The following is a 20393-nucleotide window of genomic DNA, read 5'->3' on the forward strand; positions in this document are numbered from 1 at the left end:
ATGAGCTGTGTGGACTTGGACAAGTCTCCCAACGTTTCTCAACCCTGGTGTCTTCACCCTCAAAATGAAAATAATAGTACCCACCCCTGGATTACTATGAGAAATAAATGGAATATAATTCCTGTAGCGTGCCTGCACTTTGTGGACGCTCTGTGAGTGTTCGCTCTCTCCTCTCCTTCCCTCCCCACGTAGGGCTGTATTTTCACCTCCTCTTCTGGCCTGGAGCTCAGCTCCTCAGCCTCACCCACCTCGGTCCCCAAACACATGCCCATCTACGTGCATGTCTGCCTGCTCCCCTGGGACATGCTCATCCAGGCCCCAGTCTTCCCTCTCCCAGGCCGGCCTGGGTTCATTCCTCTTGCCATGCAGACCACAGCAGCGTCATTCATCAACACAGAGTGCACATGTGTCCAGTCTTGATCCTACTGGGGAGAGGCCCAGCAGCCTTCCAAGGTTATATGCGCTGTTCCAACCTACTCTCTTCTTGCCCTCACATATTCCCCCCAGGAGGTGGGGGTGTCTGAGCCCCCTCTTATTAGGTATCCAGGCAATGGCAGTGGTGGAGCACCCACTAGTCCTCTTGGGCTTAGAGAAATATAATTTTGAGTTGGAAGCCAGGGTCTGTCCCAGAACCATAAATTAGTATCTGAATCTTCATGGGCTACCATTTGCTCACATCTTCAATGAGCATAAACATTTCCTCTATGCCCTGCCTGGCACCAGCCACAATTTCACCAGTATCCCTTCCATCTGGAAGAACTAATCCAGAGTCTACATCTCTGCATCTCCCCTCAAGTGCCCCACACTCACTGGCCTCCTCTTGGTTCCTTGGACACAGCATGGTCAGTTCCAGCATGTGGCCTTCACATTTGCGCCTTCTTCTTTCAAAAACCTGTCTCCCAAATCTCCAGTCTATTTCCATTTCATTATCTCTGTCTAAGCCTGGCGTCCCCTTTTCTGAGACGTGTTCTTTCTCTGCCACCCTGAAGGACCCCCATCCTCTCATTTAGTCACCTTCTACCACATTACCCTGTTTTATGATCTTCAAAGAAATTATTACTGTCTAAAACCACCTTGCTTATTATGGGACTATGTGTTTATTGACTGTCTCCGCTCACTAGAATGTAAGTTTCCTGAGGTCAGGAACTATAGCTGTCTTCTTTATCCGTCTATTGGCAGCATTCAGAACAGGCTCTGGCATATAGCACTCACTCAGCCACCAGGGGATGGGTGGTTGGATGGATGCTGTAAAGGCATGTGGAAGAGAATTAACCATCCCAGCGTTGATGCCAAAGCACTTGGAGCCTGGAACAAAGAGCCCAATGCTGGGGACCAGTTGTAGGTTTTCGGAAGATCCTTTTGCTAACAGGGAAAGCACAGCAGCAGTCCAGGTGTACCGGTGCGTTTAGCAGGTTGGGGCTGCAGGAGGTGGCTGCCCTCCCGCTTGCGCGCACTTCCTGTGATCCCTGCCTCCCGCTCCTGCCTCCACCCTCCTGGCTCCCACAGCTGGGCCTCCAGCTCACACCACTGCATGCGCGGCCCCATCTCACTTCCCAGGGCAGTATTATCTTGAGAAAGAAGAATTTAAGCATCCCTTGCCCTCCCTCCTCTCTCCATGGGGTGGGGAGGTCCAGGGGGAGTTGTCTGACTCTAGGATTGACCCTCCAGTCTCCAATTTTGTTCTCCAAGTTGCAGCGACTCCTTGCTTCATTCTTTAAGCTTTAAACCTAACTGGGTATCGGTGCAGCCCCTAACACCCACACATCTATGGTCCAACTGTCTTTAGGATAAATCTGCTCTATCAAGCTTGCAGGCTTTCTTTCCTGAAGTATGTGTGTTGGTGAGGTGTGGTGGCAGCAGGCTGGAGGTCACAGAGCAAGTGCCCACCCCACCCATCTGGACTTCGGAGCCACCTCACCCAGACTCCCAACACTGTGCTCAACTCCCGTGGCTCCCTATGTCACCTTCTGTGCCTGCTCCACAGATAGTACTAGCCTCATTACTGTGTGCCAGGAACAATACTTGCTTTACAAATGTTCTCCTATTTAATCTTAGGACAACATTACAAGGGCAAAAGTATATTGCCCCCATTTTATAGATCAGAAAACTGAGGCTCTGAGGTCAACTAACTTGTTCAAGATCACGTGGCTGGGAAGTGGTAGAATTAGGATTCAAATTCAGATGGGTCAGTGTGTTCTCCTGACTGCTGTGCAGAGCTGCCCCCAGCAGTTGCCACCTCTCGCTTATAGGGTGGTACCTCAGTCACCCCATCCTGCTGCTTTTGCTCCCTGCCCTACCCCACAGCTAGGCCCTGCTCATCCCTTGCCTTCCTGTGAATAGATAGTCCTGCTTCAAAGAATTCCAAATGTGGCACCTCCTTCTATCTTCCCTCTGCCCTCTGGCCATCCCTCACCAGAAGGTCTTGTGGTGTGTTCGATGTGCGTACTGCCTGGCTTGGCCTCGCCAACTCACAGTTCCTGGCCAGAGTCATTATATGCTCTGGGAGCTTATTTACAGATGATTTTTCTTGCCATCCTATAGCTTGTCAGGAACAACTGACATCCTCCCATTTGTCAGCGTGAGAGCCAGGCCTGGCTTAGTTGTGCCGATGGCGGTGTCGGCAGCTACAGAGGCAGCCATCTGAGAGTCCTGTTGTATTACACCCCTTTCCAGAACCTATGGAATTATTCCTTATCTTATGCAGCCTTCAGATAGGCTGCCTCGCTTGATGCCAAGCTCTGGCCCTAGCTGTGTCTGCATTTGCTCTTGAGGCAACAATGCAAAGGCCCAGATCCTTAGAAATAGCAGCATGTAGTATGGTCGATGCATTTGGACTGCACTGAAAGGCATTGTTGACTCTTGCCAGACAGATCCCTATCCAGATCCAGGAGACACCCTGCACGGACCTGCCGTGTCCTAGGTGGCGACAGAACAGTGGGACAGAGGCCTGGCTGGCTGTCAGAGGGTGGCAAACAGTGGGACACAGGTGGGAGATCAAAACAGATGCTAGGTGTGGCCGGTAAGTCCAGCAAGTGTGCAAGCTGGGGTTAGTCTGGCCAACAGGAAAGGGGAGTTACTAGGAGCAAATCAGATAGGAGGGCTCAGCCTTAGAAAAACTTACCAGGTGGGATGTTGCGGCCCAAAGCAGAGGCTGGATCTCTGGGGCTCGTGCACAAAGGATGGAGACAAGATGCCAGAATCAGGAACAGCTTAATAGAAGAATAGCAACGAACACTTACTGAGCACTTGCCCCATGCTAGGCCCGATCCATTTGCTCATTTTTTTTTTTTTTTTTTTTTTTTTGGAGACGGAGTCTCACTCAGTCGCCCAGGCTGGAGTGCAGTGGCGCGATCTCGGCTCACTGCAAGCTCCGCCTCCCGGGTTCACACCATTCTCCTGCCTCAGCCTCCTGAGTAGCTGGGACTACAGGCACCCACCACCACCCCTGGCTAATTTTTTTGTATTTGTAGTAGAGACGGGGTTTCACCCTGTTAGCCAGGATGGTCTCGATCTCCTGACCTCGTGATCCGCCCGGCTCGGCCTCCCAAAGTGCTGGGATCACAGGCATGAGCCACTGCGCCCGGCCCCATTCGCTCATTTAATCCTCAGAATAAACCCGTGAAGCGGAAACTGGTACCATTCATACTTTACTCATGAGAAAGCAAGTTCAGAGAGGCTAAGTAACTTGCCCAGGATCACACAGCTAGCCAGAGGCAGACTTAAACCCAGGACCCTCTGATGGCTCTCTGGCCTAGTGTCAGATTCTGGTGGGTAGTTCATCCACCCAGCACACTGTCAGGGCATCACTGTTGAATCTAGGACAGACTGGTCCCTCTCCCCTGGGCTTTAGGACCTCTAGGGTGATGGCTGGCAAGTCCTGGGGGGCGATTACAGCTCCCAGCAGGGAGGCAAGTCTTCCCCCTGGGCTTTGCCTGGTGTTCGCAGCAGGCAGAGTTGGCTCCTCTGGGAATTTCACAATCTGTTAAGCTGTTTGTGCCAGACGAGGAATCTAGACTCTTCTTCATCCAAATGAGAATGAAAATCCATGAAAACATCCAGATGTGCATTTTACCCCTTCTTGAATTAGAAGCCACCCAGATGTGTAAAGAGAGGTGCACAGGAGGTTGGCCAGGCCTGAGTGTGGCTCCCTTGCGTGTGTGAGGTCACCGCTGTAGCAGTCGGTACCGTGGCAGCAGCCCTGGCTCCCCTTCCAGGCTCCTCACCACAGAGTCAGCAGAGCGTTTAGTGGCAGGCTCAACAGTGGCCATTCTCCTACTTGGGAAAATCACTTAACTTAAAAAAATATATATTGAAATAGACATATAGAAAAGTGCACAAATCGTAAGTGACAGCTTAATGAATGATCACAAAGAGGACATCCCTGTGTGATCAATCACTGTCCGGATCAAGAAATATACCCTTAGCGGCATCCTGAAGACCCCCTTGTCCCCACCCACCTCTTTCCTGTTTCACTCTCTACACCTTTCGTCTGCCCAAAGGTAACCATTATTCCAAATTTAACACCACATGACTTCTTGAGTCTCATTCTCCTCATCTCTAAATAGGTTACTGCCAACCTTAGACGTTGCTGTGGGTCTCAAGAACGATCTGTGAAAAAACAGTTTTGGGGTATGACTATTGATGGGCATATGAGCCATGTCAACAAGTGGGACACCTCTCAGAAAAAGACCAAATACACCTTTATCACCCAGGAAGAGTGGCCAGAGGTTCAGAACAATGTCTTCAGCTCTCTTCCTCAAAAAATGGCAGGGATTCCTGAGAAAATGCCCTGCTGCCCTTTGCAGTGGTTTCAACGTGTGCACATACTGATAGGAAATGAGAAGGGGCCAGATGCTGTCCACTTTGTGGATCCAATTGGTCACATCACTGCTCACTCCCTGGGGAGGTGGGGCAGTTCAGGGCTGGTCTCTGAGGCAGAGCTGGGGCCTCCATTCTGTCTAGCAGGAGCTGTAGGGGATGGGGTGAAAAAGTGGGAACAGAGAAGGAGCACAGGGAAGGCCTCTAGAAGTTCTCTATGGCTGTGGGCGATGCCCACAGAAGTTGGTGGTACTTTATTTTACCCAACAAAAACAGTCCTAATAACAGGCCCGTGAATCTCACCATTCCTAATTACAGGGCTGACAAGTGGGAGGGAAAATGAAAGGAAGACAGCGCCGTGAGCTGGTGGCACTGTCGGGCTCCTACAACAGCAGAAACCTGTCGCCTGGGCTTGCCCAGGCCAGCTTTACACAGGCCCCCGATCACGCCTGGAACCCATAGCCTCGAAATAAGTGTAGGGCTGGCTAGGCCAGCACAAGCCCTTGCTCATTAGTTCAGGTCTGCAGGTTGGATCCCCATGTGGACCAGTTAGCTTTGCCCGTTGTCAGCGACCCAGAGCTTAACCAGCTGTTTTGGCAGCCAGCAGGGATGGGAGACAGGCAGAAGAGGGTGGACTCACTGGTGAAAATTCAGTGCCCCTTGTCCCATGGCCTATTGGTGACTGTATTGTGGGCCAGAGATTTTTATCAATAAAGGGTGCATTTGGGTTAGAAATGAGCATATCGGCCAGGCGCAGTGGCTCACGCCTGTAATCCCAGTACTTTGGGAGACTGAGGCGGGTGATCACCTGAGGTCGGGAGTTCACGACCAGTCTGGCCAACATGGTGAAACCCCATCTCTACTAAAAATACAAAAAAAATTAGCCAGGTGTGGTGGTGTGCGCCTGTAATCCCAGCTACTCAGGAGGCTGAGGCAGGGGATTTGCTTGACCCCAGGAGGTGGAGGTTTCAGTGAGCCAAGATCGCACCACTGTGCTCCAGCCTGGGCATCAGAGCGAGACTCCATCTCAAAAAAAAAAAAAGAAAGAAAAAAAAGAAAAAGAAAGAAAAGAAATGAGCATATCTTCCTGAAAACTCAGATAGGATTCAATTTCTTTTCTTGATTCGACATGTAAATTGTTGGTCAATCTTCAGAAAGTCAGGTGTGATGGTGGTGGTAGTAGTGATGTGAGGAAGTGAAACTTAGGCCTCTCTGGGCTTTGCCACATACCATAACCTGCCTGGACCTAAGCTCTCAGTTCCCTTTCTCTTTCACACCTCAACTATATAAACACTGACATCTATAATGCATATTAGTTTTTTAATCATGGGATTTCTTTTCACTCCCTTCAATACCTACATTGAATTTTCTGAAACAATAATTTTAAAAAATAAATAAAATTGAAGTGAATCCTTTAAGTTGCAACAAAATAATAAAGGCTGACACTTCTGGAACATTCCCTATGTTTCAGGCACTGTTCTAAGTGCTTTTTGTGTATTCATTAATTTAACCTCCCCAACATACCTACAAAGTATGTAATATTACTAACCCCATTTTCCAGATGAGGAAACTGAGGTACAAAGAGGTTAAGTAACTGGCCTAAGATTATGCAGTTAGTAAGTGGCTGAGCTGGCCCTAGAGGGTGTACCCTTGGTCAAAACATTCTACTACAAAATCGTTCCCTCAGTTGAGAGCCAAGGATAGAGAATAATGTTAACTGAGCTCCTCTTTCTTGGATTTGTCTATTCATTCATTCAATCATGACTTCATTCAACAAATATTTATGTAGTGCCTGGCACATGGCAGGTTCTGGACACTGGAGATGTATGATGACTAAGGCAGACAAAGGTCACTCCTTCCTGAAGATGGCACTCTAGACAATCAACAGGTAAACTGGTAAATAAACAAGACAATTTCAGGTCATGATTTCCGCTGTGAAGAAAATAAAGCAGTATAATGAGCCAGAGTGTCTCGAGGAGAGGGGCCCATTAAGTGGGCAAGTAGGGAAGGCTGCATTGATGGCATGGTGCTTGAGCTGAGGTCAGAACGGTGAGAAGCCAGCTGGGCCATGGCCAGGGCAGAGCATATGTGGAGGGGAAAGAGTAAACTCCAAGACCCCAAGGTGGAAAGTGAACTTGTCATGTTCAGAAATCAGGATGGGGGTTAGCATGACTAGCTAGACTGTGGTGAATGGGCTGCCGTATCACCAACGCCTGGTGGGCCACGGTAAGGAGTTGGGTCTTTATGAACTTGGAAGTCTCTCGGTTCTTTTCCTAGGTCCACATACACCCATGGTCTGAGGATAGCATTGAGAGTCCACAAAACTAGAAAGGAAGAATTGGCCGGGCACAGTGGCTTACACCTGTAATCCCAGCACTTTGGGAGGCCAAGGCAGGCTGATCACTTGAGGTCAGAAGTTCGAGACCAGCCTCGCCAACATGGCAAAACCCCATCTCTACTAAAAATACAGAAATTAGCTGGGTGTGGTGGTGCGTGCCTGTAGTCCCAGGTACTCAGGAGGCTGAGGCAGGAGAACTGCTTGAACCTGAGAGGCGGAGGTTGCAGTGAACCACATCACATCACTGCCCTCCAGCCTAGGTGACAAAGTGAGACTCTGTCTCAAAAAAAAAAAAAAAAAAAAAAAAGAAAGAAAGAAAGAAAGGAAAAATTAACATCTATATATTTTTCTAAGTTCAAACAGAAATGTAATATTTCCTTCAATTATGAATGTGGTCAACAAAGCTTCATGGTATTAACCACACCTGTGACTTTGTCACCAATGGTATTAATTTAGTGTTGCTGTTAGACACACTTCCAGCTCTTGTTATGTAAAGAGGCACAGATACCACTATAGCACAAAAAGTGTACACATATTTTGATAACTGAATTTCTATGTAGTCATTTTAAAATATTTTAAAATAAGAGGTTAACAGGTATCAGCAGACTGTTAAAGAGGTCCATGGCATAAAAAAATATTAAGAAGGCAGGCCAGGCATGGTGGCTCATGCCTGTAATCCTAGCACTTTGGGAGGCCGAGGCAGGCGGATCACCTGAGATCAGGAGTGTGAGAGACCAGCCTGGCCAACGTGGTGAAACCGTGTTTCTACTAAACATACAAAAATTAGCCGGGCATGGTGGTGCACAACTGTAATCCCAGCTACTCGGGAGGCTGAGGCAGGAGAATGGCTGGAACCTGGGAGGTGGAGCTGCAGTGAGCCGAGATCGCACCACTGCACTCCAGCCTGGGAGACAGAGCAAGACTCCGTCTTAAAAAAAAAAAAAAAAAGCTAGAAGGCGACACGGAGAAAAATGGCATCGTCTGCTTTAGCTTTCCCAAAGACCCCTCTGGCTGCAACGGGAAGAGGGGATTGTAAGAAGCAGGACCTCACATGAGCTCTGTTTACACAGGGAGTTGAATTTAACCCTCACCACAATCTTAAGAAGTATACATTATTTTGCCTATTTTAGAGATGAGGAAACTGAAGCTCAGATTTCTGGTAATTGCTCAGCTGGTGAATGGCAGAGTCGGGATTCAAACATGCATCTGCCTGACCCCAAAAAGCAAGAGGATTGAGGATTCGTGGGCCAGTGAATAGAAGCCTGTAACAAGAGGGTCAAGGGTAAATAGTATCTGCTTGGCCTCTTGAGTCAGCTTGGACCTCTGTGCCGCATAATTTCACCTGCAAATGAACTGCCAGCCCCTTCTTTCCTTAGCGCTGGTTCGTTCCTAAAATCTGCCCTCTATAGGCCAATAACACAGCCCTGTGCCGAGCCAACTAAATATTTCATGGGGACTTTAATTTAACTCTAAAGAAATTCATCCAGCCCCGAGAGTAAGCTGTAACCTCGAGAAATAGCACCAGGGAGCACTTGGACCTGCGGATGACATTGCCACTTTCCCAGGAATGCTAATGCTCCACTGGGCCTCTGCCTCTTCAATCATTGCTGTGGATAGGCCTGGCCCAGTGAGCAGGGATGATTTCTACAAACATGGGCTCGCACTGGTTAGCAAAGACGTGTGTGTGTGTGTGTGTGTGTGTGTGTGCGCGCGTGCACGCGTGTATGTGTGTGTGCGCACATGTGTGTGTGTGTGTGTGTCTGTGTGTTGGCACAGGTGAACAATTGGGTGCTATTTACTGTTCCTTTATTCCCTGATCTTTGTTCCTATATCCTGGTTCTGAAAGAAGGGAGAGGTGGTGGGGTTGGCATCCAGTCTCCCCAGTGGACAAGGACACCAAATATTTTGCAGGTGCCATGTGACCCCTAAGAGTTTCTCTTTGTCTCCAGCCCGCGGCGGGTGGCGTGGGCAGACAGCCTGACTCATGTGGCAGGAGAGCAGATGTGTGTGTTCTCAGGCATGTGACGCTGAAGTCTAAGGGATGAGCCCTGCGGATGCTCGTGTGGGCCAGGAGTGGGAGTGAGCCTCCCTGGCTCCTTCTGATCCCATTGCCCTGCAGCTCGGTGACCCCAGTGAGTCCTGGCAAGTTCCCTGGGCATCTCAATAGGTGCGGGTGGGAGGGAGAAAGCCGCCCGCAGGTAAACTGATCAAAAGACAGGAAGTGAGCAGATAATCTAATTTGAAATGGGCTGAGATACAGATGTTATTCTGCTCAAATGCACAGCACAAAAGGACTGGGGCCTGGGGAGAATTGGGAAGCAGCTCCGTGGAGCCAGTCTTCTGGCCTCTGGCTCAGCCTGGGCCTGTCATCTCCATTCCTTCCCGGGCTGTAATTAACACCCCTCCGCTGATAGCTGCTTTAAGCCAGATTGGAGCATGGGGCCCTTCCTCTTCTGGTTGGGCGTCCCACATGACACCGTCCAAGGTGTTAGAGGGAACCGGGTCTGGGGCAGGGCAAGGGGAGAAGGGCGCCCTCTAGTGGGGAACCTACGGCTTCAAGTCCTTAGGTTGGAGGATGTCTGATCGCATCCACAGCATGACCTGAATCTGGTTCTAATGTTCCAGCCTCCTGACAAAAATCCCTCCTGCATACAGGCATCTGTCAGAAATCAGCCTGCTTCAGCTGCCAGCAAGAAGGGGCTCGAGGGCAGGCCACGTTTGGGGGGGGGGTCCCCTCCTTACCCACGCTGTTGGCTGCACTGGCTCTTCACTAGGGACTGACTGTGTGCCCTCTTGGGGAAAGTCACTGCGAACAGTGCAGTAATAAGAAAGCCAAGCGCACAGTCCTGAGAATGTGTACATGGGGGTCTGAAGCTAGCTTTCTTCATGTCCTAGCTGCGTGTATTTGAGCAAATGATGAACCTCTCTGGGTCTCAGCGTCTTTGTCTCCAAAACAGGGCTAATGGCAGTTTTGAAATGTTGTTTATGTTAAATTTTTTCAAAGATTTGATCCCTGCTTCAAGAAGTTTATCTAATGTAGAGATAAGATATGCACACAAATGTAAACAGCAGTAATAGTAAGAGCTAACATTTATTGTGAGTTATCTGTGTCAGGCCTAAGCTTTGTGTGGGTTGCTCATTTAATTCCCATAGAAGCTCCATGGAGGTGGGAACTATCATTATCCCTACTTTACTGATGAAAAAACTGAGGCACAGAGAAGTTAAGGTCACGCAGCTCATAGGTGGCAGAGTTGGAGTGTGAGTCCAGGCATCCTGTACTAATACAAGGAAATTTATAGTATATGCCATGGTGGGTGGCATGAGCATTGCCTTCTCTCTTTGGCGACAGACAAGGGAGGGCTTATGCCTGAGAAGATGATCAGAGAAGGTTTTATGAGGATGGTAAACTTTGAATAGACCTTGAAGAGTAGGTGGAGTTGATGTTTGGACTTTTGATGTGGAGTAAATTTAACTGCAGAAAAGTACAAGGTGTGTTGAGAGCCAGCTGAGTTGGCCTGGCTGCAGGGGAGGGGCAGTGTCTGGGAGAGGAGTGATGGAGATGGGGCTGAACTTGCAGGAGTAGGCAGACCATGAGGGCCAGACTCCCACATGCTGGACTGCAGAGGAGTGGGAGTCGTGAATAATTTCTTAGGGAGGACAGGTATAGTTGCTGTGGTGCGTAAGTGAGTTTTGCTAGAAATATTGAGCACCCGCTTTATTCCAGGTAATGTGTTTTGTGCATTATATGTATTATTTCCTTTGTCCTCATAACATCTCTGAATTGGCAATTATTATCCCCACTTTACAGATAAGAAAAACGAGCTGGGAGAGGATATCACAGCTATCTAAGGTCACACTGTTAGTAACTGGCAGGGCGAGGACTTGAACCCAGTTTGGCTTGGTGCCAGTGACCCAGGCAATGTAGTCACAGGTCAGAGCAGGTGGAGGGAAGCAGTTATGTCTTTGACCTTGGCCTTATTAGGAGGGCCCCTGCAGGGACTGGAGAGAATGGCAGGCTAGGAGGTTTGGCAACACAAGGACTTAGGCACCCCTTGGTTATTGTACCATGGAGGTCATGCTGACCTTGGCTGGAGTGATATTGGTGGAGTGATGGGGTGGAGACCAGAGTGCCTGGAGTGTGGTGATATACATGGCAAGGGAGTGAGGAGAAAAATGCAGAGGGCCCTTTCTTGCCTCCCTTCAATCTTTTTCTTCACTAGAGCCGATTGAATGTGCTGCATATTCAGCATGCAGACTCTGAAGCCAAATTACGTGGGTTTGAATCCTGGCTCTGCCACTTACTTGCTGTGCAACCTTGGGCAAGTTACTTGACCTCTCTGTGCCTCAGTTTTCTCATCTGTTAAATAAGGATAATAATAGTAACCTATCTCATAGAGGTTTTGTGGATACTGAGTGAGGTAACATGTAAAGGGCTTAGTTCAGTGCCTGATACATAGGAAGAGATATGTGTTAGCTGTATTGATATTACAAGTCCAATACTGTAGGACATTCACTGTAGAAAATACTTCAGGACCTTCTGATTGCTGTCTGGTTCATTGCATCCTCTGCTACCTGCCTGCCTCTCCAGCCTCATCTTACAGCATGCTCCTGGCCCTGTGTGTTCTAGCCACTCTGGCCTTCCCACAGCCCCTGAAAAGCACCAAGCTCCCTCCTGCATCGGGGCCTTGACACATGTTGTACCTTCTGTGGGAATACTCACCCAGGCCTTCTCACTGGTCCCTCCTGTTCAGGCAGCTGAGTCTCATCTGGGGAAAACTCCTGTGGACCTTCCAGGCTCTGCCCAAGCCCTGTTCCACCTTCTCATGGTGACATATATAACCCCCCTATAAACACAGCACACGTGCAATTTTACAATTTTTTTTTTTTTTTTTTGGCAATCTGATACTTGTTCGCCTCCTCTATTGGTTGTAAATTTTTTGCTGTCAGAGACTGTGCCTGTATTTGTTCACCATAGTATTCCAGCACCTTGCACACTGCCTGGTGCAGGGCAGAGAGTCAGTGGAGAGCTGCAAGGGTACACTGAGCATTAGAGAGGAGGAAACAGGCGGGGAGGGGGCATTGGGCTCTGCAGGCAGTCCCCGCCCACCCTGAATCCCCCAGTGAGCTCAGCAGCCCCATGTTACTCTCGGCCCATATCCTCATCCAGAGCCAAATGTGCATTATCCCTCCCAGGAAAGCCAGGCTTGCTAGGCACAGAGCTGCTTCCTATCTGTGTGTTTACAGATAATGCCAGCCTCATTTTCACAGCCTCAGGCCTGGCCTTGCTTGGAATTCCATAAGCCTTTTCAATATACAGGGGATCTCCAGAGACAATTACCTTGGAATGAAGGTTTCCAGGAGTGCTTATTCTGGGTAGCGTTTTCTCATCCCAACTGTAGCCTCCCAAAGCTTTCCGGAGTTAAGTAACACAATTACAGAGTTAAATGACATTGAAGAATGGGAGGCACTCTGCAGCCCCAGCAGCAGGTGAAACAGGAGATGTGAAGCCTGACTTGTAAAGTTGTAGAAAGCTGCTGGCATGTAGAGGGGGCAGGGGCAGCTGGCCTCCTCAAGGGCAGAAAGCTGGGGTGAGGAGGTGTACTGTAAAAAGGTCAGAGAAGAAAGATCTGGAAGCTGATCAGAGATAGAAGAGAGGATCTGAAAGAGGATTCAGAGGGAGCTGGAGAGGCCATTTAATTCATTCTCCCCAAAGGAGAATCATGTTTGGAGGAAGGGACTGGGGAGAATGACTGGCTTTCCAAGCTAGGTACTGGATTTTTCCCAGAGTTTTCCAAAGGACTGGACAGCATGAGGTCTGGGAGGCCTGGACCCCACATAGGTCCACATAGACAGACGGTCACACCAGAGAAGCACATTGTGTCAACACAGCTGTGCATGTGCTCCAGGTCACCCGGGAAAGGCCGCAGGGGCCAGAGTGGGGGACGCGGTGACCAGTTAGGGCTGCACATACACAGAACAGGTCTGCCTGCCTCCAAACATGCCCACAACTCATCATAAGGTCTCCATAAGCCCTTGCTAAGATGATCCTCATTGTCAAGTTCAGCAGCAGCATCATTGTCATCCCAACAGCAAAGACTTACTGGCTACTTACTTCAAACCAGGCCCCATGCTCAGCATTTACAGACATGGCCTCATTCATCTTCTCAACAATTGTAGGAGCTAGGTACTCTTATTATACCCGCGTTACAGATAAGCAAACTGAGGCTTAGAAAAAGTTGAATAAATGACTTGTCCAAGGTCATACAACAGGTAAGTGAGTGCGAGTCCAGGTAGTTCTAAGCCACACTGAAAACTAAGTTCAGTTACCCCCTCTACTGCCTTAATAGCCCCTTATTGATATGGCAGCGCTCTACAGTGTTATGATTTATAAGGCTCTTCTACAACCATCATCTCTTTTGACTCTCACATAATATTGATAGGCTGGTATTGCCCCATTTTACAGTGGAGAAAAATGAGTCCCAGAGAAGGGAAGTAAATTGCACATGGCCATTTGGACGGCAAGGAGCAGAGGCACTGGCAGTTCTCCTGACCCGTCCCATCCTCCCATTAGCATGGCTGTATGTAAGGGAGGGCAGCCAGGCCAGGTGGAGGAGGCAGGCCTGAGGCTGCAAGAGGTCATAGCCAGGCGCGGTGGCTCACACCTGTAATCCCAGCACTTTGGGAGGCCAAGGCGGGTGGATCACGAGGTCAGGAGATCGAGACCATCCTGGCTAACACAGTGAAACCCCATCTCTACTAAAAATATAAAAAAATTAGTCGGGCATGGTGGCGGGCGCCTGTAGTCCCAGCTACTCAGGAGGCTGAGGCAGGAGAATGGCGTGAACCCGGGAGGCGGAGGTTGCAGTGAGCCGAGATCACGCCACTGCACTCCAGGCTGGGTGACAGAGCGAGACTCCGTCTCAAAAAAAAAAAAAAAAAAAAAAAAAAAGGTCAGCGTCATGGTGCTAGGGCACTGCTGAGTGGGAGGGAGGGAATTTTGCCCGAAAGGGGGCAGCAGCTGTCTGAAAAAGAAGGGAGGGAGATGAGAAGGCTTTGCTGTCTTCGGATGCTCCCAGATCTGGTATTGCCGTTAGACCACTCCTCATGCCATTCTCAGGAAGCCCGGAGTGGGAGCAGGGGGCCCAGGCAGACGCAGACCACAGCCTTATTGTGAAGGCTCATCTTCCTCCCAGCCAGGCTCATGTCCCAGGAGAAGAGCAGTGGCCACGCCAAGCCTTCAGGCTTTGACAGAAATGGTGGCAGCTGCACGGCCCCTATTAATCTCCAGGAGGCCAAAGAGAGTATGTTTTGGAAGTCACCTCCAGGCTGGCTCCCGCCTGCCCTCCCCTTGTAAACTCTACAAACATCCAGGAGATAAAAGAGGGGATCTCTCAGAGGCAGAACACAAAGCTCTTCAAAGAACACTTTCAGTCAAAAATAGGGAGAGGAGAGAGGTCTTTCTCTCGGAGGGAATGTATTTATATACCCCTGTGGGGGCGCACATCCGCCCCATGCCACAGCCGGGCACATGGGATGCGTGGAGCACTCTCTGCTTCCCTTCACCTGTCCTTTTCTTTCTCCGGAGACCTACCCTGTGGCTCTAATGGTCCCAGCTTTTTCTGGTTTTCCATCCCCCCTGGGTTACGATTTTAGACCTGCCTTCCCCAGATGGCCCCTTCCTGAATTTCTTTCCCTAAAATCAAATGTCCCTGCTAGCTGCTGCTCTTCACTGACGAGTCTGGTCATCAGTTTCCTCCTCAGAGCGTTCAATACTGCTGACCGCCATCATCCACTTAAGCAAAGTGGGGACCACTCATGTAAGCGCTGTCTCTTCTAGTCAGGCACATTAAAGCAGGGGATTTGACAGCTGGAAAGGAGCTTAGAGAGCCTCTGCTTGAACCCTTTCATTTTACAGTTGAGGACACTATTCCAGACGGTGGAATAATTTGCCTAAGGTCGTGATGAGGTTGTGGCCCACAAGTGACAAGAGTCAGGGCTGCTTTTTGGTTTAAAATGTTAAAACTTTGGGAGGCCAAGGCAGGTGGATCACCTGAGGTCAGGAGTTCGAGACCAGCCTGGCCAACATGGTGAAACCCCGTCTCTACTAAAAATACAAAATTAGCCGGGTGTGGTGGTGCACACCTGTATTCCCAGCTACTTGGGAGGCTGAGACAGGAGAATCACTCGAATGTGGGAGGTGGAGGTTGCAGTGAGCCAAGATCGCACCACTGCATTGCAGCCTGGGCAAGACAGAGCAAGACTCTGTCTCAAAAAAATAAAAATACTAAATAAGTAAATATTGTATTTACTTTGAAGCACTCAGAATGTCAACCAAACAGCTGCAACCTTTTTGTTGTTGCAATTACAGAGTGGTACTCAGTTAACGGAACGACAGTTATCATGTGTAAGCTTCATCGGAGTCAACTAAAGATGAATAAGCCACCACCCCCATACATAACTAATTTGTTCTGTGCACCAAGAACCTGCTTTAAATGTTTGTGCCAACTTACAACCCCATACTGTGCCAGGCAAGGTTAGTGGCCATTAAAAATACCACCAGGACAGGGTTATCTAAAGACACATTCAGTAGTGTGTTAACTATACAAAAAAAAGACACTGTACAGTTAAAAAACAAATCCTACGTAGCCTTACATTTTACTTATTTTCTTCAAAAAGGAATGGGTTGTGTATGGGGGGGTGGGTGTTAAATGCTTGATATACAAGAAAAAATGCTCTAGAACCAACTTCGTCATCATCATCCTGGTCTTCATCTTCTTCATCTTCCTCCTCCTCCTCTTCATCTTCCTTGTTTTCCGCCTCTTCCTTTTTTTTCCTTGCTTTTTTCAGCCCCGATAACTTGCTTTTCTGCTGCATCGGACTTTCTTTTAGCTCAGTTTGCAGCAATATCCTTTGGCATTTTTCCTCCAGCTTCACAGCCCTCTTTTCATATGGCCGCTAGTCATCTGCCGCCGTGTTAGTCCACATCTTCCAGCTCCTTTGCAACATCACCAATGGACAGGCCAGGATGTTCTCCTTTGATGTGAGGGCAATATTCAGGAAAGAACAAGATGAAGGTCAAAGGAGGCCTCTTGGGTGCATTAGGATCTTTTAACTTTTTTTCTGTCTCCCCTTTAGGAGAGATACGGGTTTCATTTCTCTTTCATAACAGGTCTTTTCCACCTTTGCCCTGTCTGCAGATTTTCCCTTCTCTTTAGCAGACATGGCCTTCCAGCACTGAGTACTTCTGAGAAAACTTGGCAAAGCTGACTGAGACAGCTGAGTGCTGCTTCTCCTGCTCCTCCCAGCAAGTTTGCACAGACTGTGCACCTGATGAGATTTTGCCTGTCAGCTTCTTAGGGTCGTCTTTGCCTGTGTTTAGCTATTTGTTTTCAGCAAGGCACAGAGCTGCCCATTTCCCATCTGGTTCTCACTTGCCCTGGTGCTGTCTCGATGGAGCTCAGTGTACTTCAGTGGCTGTGAAAGCAGGAGCAGTCACCAAAATCCAGGTCTTCTGATGTCCTGTTCCCTGCTCTTTCCGCCTGGGAGCATGCCCACCCCTCCCTGGCCTGGCCCCCACCTGCCCCCCAGGAGGCAGAGGAGCAGAAGGGCTTGGATGAGTTGTCATTGTACATGCCCCTCAGCCTCCCACACCAGTGATTCCTGGGTGGAATCACAGTCCCAGCCCCCTATCTTACTAGTTTGGTTTCATGGCACATTATCTCTTCATCTGAAGGCTGCTTTATAGCATAATGTCTTTTTTTTGTTTTGTTTTTAAGATGGAGTCTCTCTCTGTTGCCCAGGCTGGAGTGCGGTGGCACGATCTCAGCTCACTGCAACCTCCATCTCCCGGGTTCAAGTGATTCTCCCTGTCTCAGCCTCCCGAGTAGCTGGGACTACAGACGTGCACCACCATGCCCAGCTAATTTTTGTATTTTTAATAGAGACAGAGTTTCACCGTGTTGGCCAGGCTGATCTCGAACTCCTGACCTCAGGTGATCCACCCAGCTCAGCCTCCCGAAGTGTTGGGATTACAGGCATGAGCCACTGCGCCCAGCCATAATGTCTTTGACTAGGTAAAATAACGAAGGCACATGTGATTGGAATAATCTGATCCCATGTGATTGTTGCTGATACCCCAGTGCCTTCAAGCTAAAGTAGGTAATTACTCCTCTATATTGAGAATATAATATTAAATGCAAGAAACGACCGCCACAAACCTTTCATGGCTTCTTTCAGCTTGTCACTGCCCTTTCCTGTCTCCTTCCCTGCCTCCCTTTCCCCCAGCGTCCTCTTGACCGGGGACAAAGGAAAGAAAGACTGGGACTGGTGGGAATGTGCCAGCAATGTGTGCATGAAGCCGGTTCCCTGTTTGTAGGGAAGTGTCAGTGAGTGAGTAGACAGAAATGCTCTGTCCAGACGTGAGGCACAAGCTCTCCCTTGGCATGTGGTCATTCTCCCTGTGCCCAGGGAAGAACCCTGGTAGTGAGCTGCTGCCCATCTGCAGATGTGTCTCCACAGGGACATATGGAATTGTTTTGGCATAATGTCACAGTTGGCCAACTTTTATCGACTTGTAAAATGATTTCCAAATTTTAATCCAAAGTTTGCCCTTTGGGAGGAAAGCAGCGTGTGAGGAAAATAAACTTGAGGATAGAGTTGTTGACTTTGGTTAATTGATTTGGATTTTTTTTTTAAAGAACCAGAGAAAGGAATGGATGCCACGTTTACCTCATGCCCATTTCATCACTTTTAATTTTTCTAATCTTGCCATCTTTCCTCCAGTTTCTTCATTCCAGCCCATTTAACTCTTGTTTCCTCCCCTCAAGTTTCAGGTAGGGGTTGGCTACCAATTTGGTTCATTTCTGTTACCTGACACCTGTGCTCAAAAGCTGAATTCAAATCAGTGCCTCTGTTGTGGAGGGGCTGAGGCTCTGAACGGCCCAAGCAACTGTCTAAAGAGTCCCCCAAATGAAGGCACTAACAATCCTCTAATCAAACCTAACTTTGAATGCAAGTGTCAATTCACTTGCTAGCAGTCATCAGCACTGTCTTGGAGAAATACAGAATGGATCATTCACATTTTCTATTTTGTAGTGAAAATCCCCTTCATCTGCACCCTAGTTGCTTTTTAAGGATGACCTCACCATATAAGGCTCCGAGTTTGTTAAGCTGTGCTGGATCGTGTGACTGCTTTATGGGGTGGAACGTGAATTGGTGATGGAGGATTGGGGTTGAGGTGGAGAAGAAACTGATCTTTGCCAATGGATTTATCCTTCCTGTACACAAATCATAATTCCCTTGTGTGTAAAATGAGGGCCAGCACATCTGTCTCCCCACTTTCTTTGCAGTGTTTGTACGTAGTCATTCAGAACTGATTAGCCTGTTTGTAGATTGTTGGACCACACTTCACTTTTCTTATTTCATCTTTTGCATCAACTGATCGACCAGCATTAGAAAATGTCAATCATTGTAGGCTCGTCTGAGATACAGCGCCCAGGTCATAAAAACATGGCTCTTAACAATTAGTACAGTATAAGTTAGAATCATCAGGGCAGCTTTTTACAAATATAGATTCCTGCGTCCTACCACCAGAAAATCTGATCCAGGAAGTCTGGGATGAGACTCAGGAATTCACATTTTAATTGACCCAGCAGGTGATTCTGAGGTAGGTGGCCCCATAGACAGCATTTTGAGAACCACCATAGAGGATTGCTGGGAAGGACCCAGGCACTCTCCTTGATTTATGGATGAGGTTAAGGGAGCCTAGAGAAGTGAAGTGACTAGTCCAGGTTGGTTAGTTGGTTGTTAGAGTAGAGGATGCATTAGAACTGAGCACCAGTTCTGGGCTTTTCCCACTGCCCCATGTGTAGGAGAGTAGACTAATAGGAAACAGACTTGCTTTCCACAGGATTGATTTAAATTAGATACAAGGAAAAACTTCCTGACATAGAAGAGTATGAGGAAGTCTACATCTTTCCCAGAAGGGTTTAATTCAGGGCTAACTCTCATCAGATGTGGGCACTTGAGGTACAGTTTGGAGGCAAGGGGAAAGGAAGGAAGCCTTTATTGAACAAATGCTGGTTGTTGTGCATTAAGGGGACCAGAAACTCTTCTTCGGGTCTGCTAATGACATCTGAAGTTTCACCTGGACAGCGACATAAGTGGCCAGTGATCCAGGAGGCCTGAATCCTAGCCAGCTGGGATGAGCTTTGTGATGTTGGACCACTTGCTCAGTTTTCTGGTCTCTGCTTTCTCACTGTGGGACAAATGGGGTTGCATTAAGGTTTTTCTGATTTCTGTGGTTCCAGCATTTTTACTTTTCATTGTAGCCCCTTCAGCAAAGTTTCTTACACACCATAAGCAGTCAGTGGAGTTTTGTCAACTGAACGAAACAAACACTACTCAATATTGAGAATGGGCCAGGCGCGGTGGCTCATGCCTATAATCCCATCACTTTGGGAGGCCAGGGCGGGCAGATCACGGGGTCAGGAGTTTGAGACCAGCCTGGCCAGCATGGTGAAGCCCTGTGTCTACTAAAATTACAAAAATAAGCCAGGCATGGTGGCCCACGCCTGTAGTTCCAGCTACTCGGGAAGCTGAGGCAGGAGAATCGCTTGAACTCAGGAGGCAGAGGTTGCGGCGAGCCGAGATGGCGCCACTGCACTCCAGCCTGGGCGACAGAGGGAGACCCTGTATCCAGAAAAAAAAAAAAAAGTATTGAGAATGCAGGAGCCCAATCTGCCAATTTCCTCCTCCCAAGCCCCTACCCTAGGACACTTTGAGACTGTCTCTGAACAGTCTGGTAGTGATACCCCCTGTTTTTAAAATTATTTATGTATTTAAAGGGATCTAACGACAAGTGAACATGAGTTATAGCTTCAATATCCATGTACTTTTATGAGTGATCATTCAGATCTGTATGCAGTGTTGACTTAGAGCCACTCCTCAAGCAAGAAGCCAGACCAGCATCACATCTCCAATAGCAGTGACGGTTGCTGGTCGCAAGTCTCTGTGCCTCTTCTCCTATGGCCACCCCACTGACGGGCTGTCTCTGTTCTTTTCAGAAAGCAGATCTGGCTGTGGCAGGCCTCACCATTACAGCTGAACGGGAGAAGGTGATTGATTTCTCTAAGCCATTCATGACTCTGGGAATTAGCATTCTTTACCGCGTTCATATGGTAAGAGACTTATTTTATAAGCATTTATGTCATTAAAGTTATTTGCATGCAAACACTGA

At 48.5% G+C, this 20393-nt stretch overlaps 1 protein-coding gene and 1 pseudogene across 16 annotated transcripts in view, besides 3 other annotated features; one reads left to right on the plus strand and one right to left on the minus strand.

Annotated features, from left to right (window-relative positions):
• GRIK4 (glutamate ionotropic receptor kainate type subunit 4) overlaps positions 1 to 20393 on the plus strand; it is a 477159-nt gene that overhangs the window by 408379 nt on the left and 48387 nt on the right. For all 16 annotated transcript variants that reach the window (NM_014619.5, NM_001440404.1, NM_001440403.1 and 13 more), the window contains one exon: positions 20221 to 20334. In NM_014619.5, coding sequence (NP_055434.2) covers positions 20221 to 20334 — 114 coding nt within the window. The remainder of the gene's footprint in view (positions 1 to 20220; positions 20335 to 20393) is intronic.
• Positions 6004 to 6103: a silencer, noted in NCBI's record as "silent region_3995". NCBI's record gives its function as "represses an Ori minimal core promoter by ATAC-STARR-seq in GM12878 lymphoblastoid cells {active_cell/tissue: GM12878}" and the evidence as "EXISTENCE:reporter gene assay evidence [ECO:0000049][PMID:35858748]".
• Positions 9702 to 9751: a silencer, noted in NCBI's record as "silent region_3996". NCBI's record gives its function as "represses an Ori minimal core promoter by ATAC-STARR-seq in GM12878 lymphoblastoid cells {active_cell/tissue: GM12878}" and the evidence as "EXISTENCE:reporter gene assay evidence [ECO:0000049][PMID:35858748]".
• Positions 13994 to 14288: an enhancer, noted in NCBI's record as "tiled region #13304; K562 Activating DNase matched - State 12:CtcfO". NCBI's record gives its function as "activates a minimal TATA promoter and a strong SV40 promoter by Sharpr-MPRA in K562 cells {active_cell/tissue: K562}" and the evidence as "EXISTENCE:reporter gene assay evidence [ECO:0000049][PMID:27701403]".
• On the minus strand, positions 15604 to 16541 carry HMGB1P42 (high mobility group box 1 pseudogene 42; annotated as a pseudogene).

This window comes from Homo sapiens, chromosome 11, assembly GCF_000001405.40.
Source record: "Homo sapiens chromosome 11, GRCh38.p14 Primary Assembly".
NCBI lineage: Eukaryota > Metazoa > Chordata > Mammalia > Primates > Hominidae > Homo > Homo sapiens.